This window comes from Homo sapiens, chromosome 13 (assembly GCF_000001405.40).
Source record: "Homo sapiens chromosome 13, GRCh38.p14 Primary Assembly".
NCBI classification, from domain to species: domain Eukaryota; kingdom Metazoa; phylum Chordata; class Mammalia; order Primates; family Hominidae; genus Homo; species Homo sapiens.
In genome coordinates this window covers 98,781,319-98,790,635 of record NC_000013.11, presented here as the reverse complement: position 1 = coordinate 98,790,635, position 9,317 = coordinate 98,781,319, and the positions used below count along the sequence as shown (strand labels likewise).

The following is a 9,317-nucleotide window of genomic DNA, read 5'->3' as shown; positions in this document are numbered from 1 at the left end:
GTTTTTATTCTGAGACTGTTTTATGTTTATTGCCAGAGAGTAAATGAGTATTTATGTTGGTATCATCGGGAACCAGGTTCTTACATGGGAGAGGAAAAGATGTGTCTATGAGACCAGCAGGGTTAAATTAAAACACTCTGGGGTCGTGTGAGAAGGATTTTAAAGAAGCTCCCACTAGCAAGGTGCAGGATGGGCATCAGTAAGAATAATTGCAATGCAGTGAGCAGTAATCATGCCACTGCACTCCAGCCTGGGTGACAGAGCCAGACCCCATCTCAAAAAAAAAAAAAAAAAAAAAAAAAAGAATAATTGCAACGGACTGAAAGTATGTAATTAAGTCTATGAGTTCATAATGAAAGGAAAACTGCTTGGTAACCATTGAAGGAGTTGATATTATCAAAAAAGACAAAGCGTTCTCGTGTCTCCTGGTAGAAGTACACACCACCACCTATGAAGTAGTCTTGCCAAAAACTTGCATCTGACTCAGATCAAGCCTCTGACTCTACCTACCAATTCTCCATGACACACAGGGCACAGAGGAACACCTTAAGTGACACTGCGGGAAATGCAATCTGCAAAGTCCATCCTGTGGAAAGCTCTGTAGGATAAACAAGCTGGTTTCTTCAATAAACAAATTTCAAGAAAAAAGAGATGGAGAGGGAACCTATGTATTAAAAAAGACTTCGGGGCCCACGTCTAGGAATGTGAAGTAGACACACTTTTCCCTATGTCCCCACTAAGTACAGCTAAAATCCCTGCACACTAGGCATCAACAGAAGACCCTGGAAGGTGGAGTGAAGAAGGCAGACCCACAAGAGGCCTTGGGTCCAGCGAGTGATGAGTTGTGAATTCTCTGGTTTTCTTTTTGCTTCATACATCCTATACTTGGAGCCGAAGAAACTAACCACAGGGAAATGCTAATGGGCAAAGACAAAAAAAGGCCAACACCCCTTCACACCTATTATTATGGCTATTATTTTAAAAACAAAACAAAATGCACTGATGAGGAGGTAGAGAAACTGGAACCCTGTGCACTGCCGATGGGAATGGAAAATGGTGCTACCACTATGAAAAATGCTATGGAGGTTCCTCAAAAAACTCAACAATTGCCGTATGATCCAGCAATTCCACTTCTGGGTATAAAACAAAAGAACTGAAAGCAGAGACTTGAACAGATTCAGGATGTTCCTAGCATTATTCACAGCAGCCAAAAGGTGCAAGCCACCCAAGCGTCCATCAACGGATGAATGGACTAAAAAAAAGGAGTCTCAATACAGTGGAATTATTACATGATTCAGCTTTTTAAAGGAAAACAATTCTGACACATTCTACAACATGGGTGAACTTTGAAGATATCACGCAAAGTGAAATAAGCCAGACACCAAGGAATAGATATTATGTGATTCCATTTACATGGATACCTAGAGTAGGCAAATTCATAGAGACAAAGTAGAATGGGGGCTGCTGCTGTCACCGGTGGAGGGTGTCCAGGTTCTTGGTGTCTTGAACAAAGAATTGGACAAAACGCACAAACAAAGCAAGGAAAGAATGAAGCAACAACAGCAGAGATTTATTGAAAATGAAAGTACACTCCACAGCGAGGGTGGGGGGAGCAGGCCAGAGCATAGGGGCTCAAGAGCCCAGTTACAGAATTTGTGGGGGTTTAAATACCCTCTAGGGGTTTCCACTGGCAACTTGGTGTATGCCCTATGTAAATGAAGAGGATGAAGTCAGGTTACAAAATCATTGACTCGGCGTACCCCCTATGGACAGGATATTTCCTGTCATAGCTGAAGTATCAATCGGCTGGCCTTATGTTCCCTGCCTCCAGACCCTATTTTCCTGCCTCACTGGGGAGGGGGAATGGGGAGTGAGTGTTAAATGGGTGCAGAGTTTCAGTTGGGTAAGATGAAAAATGTCCTGAAGTGGGTGGTGGTGATGGTTGTTCAACAATGTGTGTGTACTTAACGCCTCACAACTGTACACTTGTAAATAGTTAAGATGGTACACTTCTGCATGTATGTTTAATTCTCTAGGGGTTTCCATTGGCCAGTCTGCGGGGGGTCCAGGGAGGCCTCTGATCAGGGACACTGGAGAGGGACATGAGTGAGAGCCAAGCCCCTTGGGGGAACTGAGGGGAAAGGTGTTTCAGCAGAGGGAACAGAGGTGGGTGCCGGCTGTTCACAGAGATGCCAAGGGAGGGGAGGCACGGGGGCAGAGGGAACAGCAGGTGACCCCCAGAGGGCCCTGGTGGCCTGGGCAGGACTCTGTGTTTTATGCGAAAATGGAAATCAATTGGAAGGTTTTGAACACAGAATTGACACGACCAGGCTTAGGGTTTTTCAAAGATCAGTTGGCTTCTGTGGAGAAGGGGTTGCCGCGAGCAAGGGGTGAAGCGGGGCTTACGGTGAAGCTGTGGCTGTGGCCCGGGGGTGGGGGCTGAGGTTGGGTGCAGGTGTGCAGGGGCTGAAGAGGAACTAGATTCTGAAGATACACAGAAGGGAGTGCTGCCAGGACGTGCTGGGGACTGGATTAGGGGAGAGGGACAGGGGGAGGGACAGGAGTTGGGGGGATCCAAAATTTTGGTCAACCACTGGAAGAATGGAGAGAGCGAAAAGGGAGACTGGGAAGGTGCAGTGATGTGAGCAGCCCCCCTTCTGGGCATGTGAAGGTTGAGAGGGCTCTGAGAGTGGGGTGGTCAGGAGTGCAGGGGATTTGGAAGTCGAATTCAGGGGAGCGTCTGGGCTGGAGGAGACGCTGCTATGTAGATGATAGTAAAGCTATGAGGACCAGCTGGGGCCCTGGTGAGTGCGGACAGAGGAGAGGTCCATGGCAGAGCGTGGGGGTTCTGCAGTGTTGAGAGGCCACAGAGAGGAGGAGGAACCAACAATGCAGACCATGAGAGAGAAGCAGAGGTCTGGAAGGGCCAAGAGACGGGCGTTCAAAAGCCACGTGAATAAAGTAGTTCAAAAAGGCAGTGACCCAATGAATCCAATGAGAATAAAATGAGGCCCAAGAATCTGCCGTTGGATTTGGCAAAGTGGAGGTGTATGAGTCCATTCTCACACTGCTACAAAGAACCACCTGAGACTGGGTAATTCATGAAGAAAGAGGTTTAATTGACTGACAGTTCTGCAGGCTGCACAGGAAGCATGGCTGGGGAGGCCTCGGGAAACTTAAAATCACGGCAGAAGGTGAAGGGGAAGCAAGTACCTTCTTCACATGGCGGCAGAAGAGAGAGCAAAGGGGGACATGCCACACACTTTCAAACCGCCAGATCTCGTGAGAACTCACTGGCTATCACGAGAACAGCAAGGGGGAAATCTCCCCCATGATCCAATCGGCTCCCACCAGGCCCCTCCCTGACACACAGGGATTACAATTCGAAAAAAGATTTGGGTCGGGACACAAAGCCAAACCGTATCAGGAGGTGGTTGGAGGGAGCCCTTGAGAGAGTGGTATGGACCAAAGGCTGATGGGAGTGGCTTTCAGGAAGGATGGGAACGCTGAGTATGAGCATGAGCACTTCATGTTTTGCTTTATAAAGAGGAGTGGAGAATTTGATGATATTGAGGAAAGTTTTAAGTCAGGTAAAGAGAGGACTCAGGTTTTTTCAATAGCAGAATGACAGCAGGTGTACAGACTGATGAAAATAGCCAGGTAGAAAGGCAGAAAACTGATCATGCAAAAAAGAGTGATGTCTTCCAACAGGCAGGAGGGAGGAAATTGGGCACTAGAGGTCAGGGGTGCCCGAGCTGGGTCTGGAGCCTCAGAAAGGAAGGAGGCTCTGCTGAACACAGGCTGAAGGGTATGCGGTTCTCTGCTGGTTGCTTCTGTTTTCTTTGGGAAATGAAAAGCAGGGTCATCCACTAAAAGAAAGGAGAGAGAGGGATAAGGTGTAGAGAGAAAAGACGTGCACAAATTATATTTTCACCTTTGCACACGTGTCTCTGTCTCCAAAGGGTACATTCTTAGCAGCGGAATTGCTGGGTCAAAGGGAAGGCACATTTTAAATTTGACCAGCATCACCGAACTGCTCTCCACAAAATAACACGAGGGAACCGGCAAAGCTCATTATTTCATCTCCTTTAAGCCTTGGCATCTGTATTGGGTTCGTGGTGGTCTTTGAAGGTGTTCTGACGAATGTTCTGGTTACAGTGCACTCTGCACTCACAGCCTGTGGAATCTGCCTGGTACAACTTAACAATATTATTTAGACTTCAGCAAACAGAAAAAGACGTGAAATTAAGCCACCAAGGGTGAGTTGTGTCTTCATTCATCCCACACTTACTGCTTGTTTCACCTCAGGCAAGTGATTCGACTTTCCTTAGCCTCAGTTCCCTCATGCGTCAAATGAGATGGTAATAGTCTGCTGCACCTGGAGCGGTCCCGAGGAGGAAATGGGCTAAGCACTGCCGACTGGCTCATGGTAAGCCCTGAGTAAATGTTATTATTGTTATTATTTTTTAACCAGGACTCAGCACAAATAAGGGAAGAGGAGAGAATTCAGCATTAATTCTTGCTCAATACTCCCTTTGACCCATGTTTTCCCACAGGCGTTCTAGGGAACATTACCAGTTCCAAGGACATGGGATGTTAACAGGGACATTGAGGGACAAAAAATTAAAAGGAGGTTGGGTTTCCTTGTTATAAGAAGTTAGATTGAGCAGCTTCTCCTTTAGTACCTCTCAAAGCCTCTTGGATGAACTTTGCTTCTAAGACAGGTCCCTGCTAATGACTATTTCCCCAAATCCACTGACAGACACACCTGCTCCTCTAGAGCCTGGCCCGCGGCCAGGGTCCCACAAATGCTCTCTGAGAAATACTCCAGAGACCACACAGACTGGGCCCCTGTCCTGCCTCCTTGGCTGCGGTTCATCCCTGGTGGCAGAGGGTGGCTCCCAAGGGTCCTCGGTTAGCAACTCCAGCCAGGAGCAGGGGTACAGCCATCACCTGCCCCACCTGGGTGGCTGTCTACTTGCCCGCTTAGCCAGACGCAGTGATGGAAGGGGCGCAGGTTGCCCACCCCAGTGGGCTGAGCCTGCACCCTTGATGTAGGAGGTTTCCTGGCACAGGCTGGCCTGATATCTGCTGCTGGTCCGGGCTTGTCATGCTGCGCATACACCGGATGAGGACGCAGCACCGGAGTCTGGAGCTTGCACCTTCTTGTCCACAAGTGACTTGAGCAGATTCATTTTCACTCCTGTCTCTCCCCCTGCAAGTCAGGGGAAAGCCCGGGCATCCCCTGCCTCACGGTGGGGAATGAAATGCGTGCTAGAAGGGACCCCAATAATGCACTCTTCCATTTGGAAGAAGCAAGAACAACGGCTACAATCGTTCCTTGAAGTCTGTGTCAGTTGGAATTTGCCTGGAATATGGTGGCGCTGGCTGAGAGGGGGTGGTGGCTCCTACTGGCATGCTGGTGGGAGTCATCTGGAACTGACCCTAGAGCTTTCTGAGCCTTGCAAAAGAGCCACAGGTGAAGACATGAGGCTGAATTGTGAGGCCCTAGAAATGGGCAAGACCACCGCTGAGGTTAGACCCAGGCCCAGATCCGAGAGTTGCTGAGAAGCCAAGGGAACCAGTGTCTCTGGACGAGACACTGAGCTGAGCTCCAGAAGGTGTTCAGCAGATGCTGGTGTGCAGCTCAGGAAGGAGGAACCCACACAGCCCCGGGCAGACCTTTGTCCTGGTGTGACTGACCCATCAGCTCAGGAGGAGAGCAGGCAGGGCCTCCTCCTCACAAAGGCTGATCCCTCTGTGTCAGGGACACTCACCACACCCTCTTCCTACGCTGCTCTCAGGTGCCAGCACTTTCCAGTGTGACCCTTAATCCTCAGAACAATGCTGCCATGTGGGCGGTGGCTTCCTGTGAAGAAACCATGGGCAGAGAGATGGGCAAAGTTGGCGTAGTCACACGGTACACGGGGAGATTCCTCTGACCTGGGGCCTGGTCGGCCAAGGTGCTCAGCACCTCCAGGCCACACCGGCCTCTGCAGAGATAGGGGCAAGTCCTGCAGGCTCCACTGTGCCCCCACCAAATTCGTGTATTGAAGTCCTAACCCCCAGCACCTCAGAAAGTGACTGGATTTGGAGTAGGGTCTTTAGAGAGGTAATTAAGTCAACATGAGGTCACTAGAGTGGAACCCAATCCAACAGGACTGGTATCCTTGTGAGAAGAGGAGATCTGAACACAGACTCACACAGCAGGAAGGTGAGTGAAGACACAGGGGGAGGATGGCCGTCCACAGGCCAAGGAGAGAGGCCTGGAACAGATCCCTTCCTCATGGCCCTCAGAAGCAGCTGCCCCTGCTGACGCCTTAATCTCGGACTTCGGCTTCCAGAACCGTGAGGCAGTGACGTCTGCTGCTTAAACCACAGCCTGTGGAGCTGTGTTGTGGCAGCCGAGCGGACTAACACAGCCAGACCCCATGCCACACAAGGGGATGGGGCCATGGTGCTCCAGGACATGTGGGGAGACTCAGATCCTTAGAGAGACAGAGGTTTGAACAGAAACATCACCAAACCAAGACAGGATGAGGACAACAAGTTTCTGAAGGAACTAGCCTTGCTCTGAAACCAAGATTGGGAAATATTGTCACCGTTGGCTGTGGCAGCCCCGTCCGACTGGTTCTGAGCAGGTGCTTCCAGGAGTGGGGCAACAGCAGGGCCCACATTGCCTGGTAAATGACTTCCCACCTTTCCAGGTGGGCATGACCGGAAGTGAGTGGGAGGTAATATGGCCCCTCTCTCACCATCTGTCATAAGCTGTCACAGACAGCCACCCAATGTCCTCTGCTTAGCTTGGCAGTGTGAAAGGAGCACTGGATGAGGAGTCTGAGAGGCTGGATTCTAGCTCAGTGGCCCAAGTGTGGAGTCCAACACCATCTGAGCTCCAGCTTTGACACCCATAACTGAGGAAAATCCCTGTTTCTCTTGACTTCACAGTTTCTCTGTCAAATAACATCATTTACTATTACTATATCCCCAGCCAAAAGGATTGTAGGGGCTTGTAATAAAAACATAATCAATAAAATCATTCAAGCAAGCATAAAATAATGGACATTAAGGAAAGAAGGGAAGAGATGGTTGTTTGTTATCCTTAACAATACAGACTAAGCCCCAAATTTAGCTCTGAGCATCCTGGCAGCCAAGAGAAAAAGGGAAACACTTTCAAAAGTAGATTAAAAAAATGTTTGAAGTTTAGAAGATACAGTACTTTTTTAAAGTTACACACTGTACAGAATTTAAAATGATAATTTTCTTTCAACGTGCACATTTCAAACATGAAGAACAGAATCCATGGCCAGGCTCTACACTCCGATTTCCTACATTTCTAGATGTTGTAGACTTCCTAGATTTGTGTAGCTTAAAATAGAGGAATTTATCACTGTTATCTCCACCCAGTCACAATCTCATGTTCTAGGCAAATCCAGTAAACTTTCCCCCTCCTCTCTTTATAAAAAATAGCCTCTGTACTTTTTTCTAATTATAAAAGCACTATTTGCTCCTAGTAGAATGTGTATAAAATACCAAAAAATAGAAATGAGAATTTAAATATCCACAGTCCTCCAACCCTCATCCCTTCCAGATAACTGCCATCGACACTTCACTGGCTCCATTCCAGCATTTTCTGTCTTCTGAGTTTCCTGTTGTTTCTTGACCCACATAGTTGAGGTTGCCTCAACTTTAGAAGTTTTGGTTCCCGGTAAATACTGTGTAGGAGCACCTAGAGTTACCAGATTTTCAACGTGACTCAGAGCTCATTTTCCTTAAGATAAAAATTGAGCAACAGGTTTCTGCCATCTTTGCTCTGCCCACCCACGTGAGCCTTGGGTCCACAGCTGTCTCTGCAACAGGAGCTCTGCACAGCTGGTCCAGAGCACCCACTTCCTCCAATTCCCACCCCCAAATGGGCTCTACTTTGCAGATAGTAAGAGCCCCTGGTGGAGTGAGAACCGTAGTTTTGAGCCACTGTAACTTCCTTCACCCATTATTCCTACTGTCTTGGTGAAGATTTACCTGGAGACAGGGTGGGCTTTGAGAAAGGATGTCTCATTACCATGCCCAAAAAGCCTCGTGCACCTCTCAGAATTTCCTTGTCCTTTTCTATTTCACCCCGTGAAATTCCACCAAAGGAGGTTCACACACATTAACACGTGTCATTGAAAAATTCCATCCTAAGATAAATCTGCTCCATGGATCTTGTGTGGATTGTGTCACTGTTATTTTTCTACTCACACATATTAGCTGTGCCATGGGAGGGGTCGCCTTACTGAAGGGAGCAAGAGACGTTGTTTTAGAACTGAGTAGAGGAAAGAAATCCTCTGTGTGGCTCTGCAAGGAAAGTCCGTGTAGCCCTTTTGGGCTGCTGGGTCCCCGGGACACAATGATGCGGCCGGAGGTGCCTGAGGCTCTGCCTGCTTCACCAGTGCCAGTGTAGACCCCCTGCCTGTGGAGTCCAGGTTCTCAACCCCCTTCCCCCGACCTCCATTACTTGAGCGGGTCAGCTTCCTTGAGTGTATGTGGGACAGAAGGGATTTGCTCTCCATTCCTCCTGAGTTGTCCACATGGCAGTTGCTCTTCCTGGGCCACCACACACCTCCTTGGGAATCCTGGAGTCAGAGGAAGCTTCTACTTTAGTGTGGCAGGCAGTGGGTGATAAGGTGCAGGTCGTGGGTCCCTTCTTTCCCCAGAGCCCCAACAGCAGCCTGTACCTGTGCCTCCCATGCACCTCTAGGGAGAGGCCGTGGCCATGATGGGTGGGAGGTCCTCAATCCCAACAAGGCACCCAGAAAGCTAGCCTGTCTGGTCCTGGGGGCCCGCTCTGAGGTACCCACGTTCCGACCATGCTCCTATGACCTCAACTCTCCTGTCCTCTGACAGAAAGTGAGTCCTTGCCAAAGCTCCATGCCCCTCACCATCACAGTGTCCAGCCAGGTCACAGCCGTCACGGCTATGCGTGGAGCACGGATTCCCCCATCAACCCGTGATGCTCTTGCCAAGTTTTCCAGGGCCTTGTCCTCAGTGCTTGCCTCACTTGACCAGCAGCAGTGTGGGAGCCAAAGCTTGCTCCGCCCTGAGCACCGTCCTCACTTGGCTGCCGGGAAGGACACACCTCTCCTTCCTCCCTCACACCACAGGGGTTCCTCCTGTGCTGCTGCCCAGTGTCTTATTTCCCGGGTCCCCTGGGTGCAACGCTCACTTCTTGTGGCTTGAATGATCTCATTCATATGCTGACCATACGACGATGTCCTTCATCTGTGTGATGACTATGATGACATCCATCATCTATGTGATGACTGTGATGACGTCCA

At 49.3% G+C, this 9,317-nt stretch overlaps 2 annotated features.

Moving 5' to 3' along the window:
• Window positions 3,737–4,936: an enhancer, noted in NCBI's record as "BRD4-independent group 4 enhancer chr13:99437954-99439153 (GRCh37/hg19 assembly coordinates)". NCBI's record gives its function as "activates an origin of replication core promoter dependent on BRD2, P300/CBP, MED14 and CDK7 cofactors, and independent of BRD4, by STARR-seq in HCT116 cells {active_cell/tissue: HCT116}" and the evidence as "EXISTENCE:reporter gene assay evidence [ECO:0000049][PMID:35650434]".
• Window positions 8,527–8,821: a silencer, noted in NCBI's record as "tiled region #1899; K562 Repressive non-DNase unmatched - State 21:Repr". NCBI's record gives its function as "represses a minimal TATA promoter and a strong SV40 promoter by Sharpr-MPRA in K562 cells {active_cell/tissue: K562}" and the evidence as "EXISTENCE:reporter gene assay evidence [ECO:0000049][PMID:27701403]".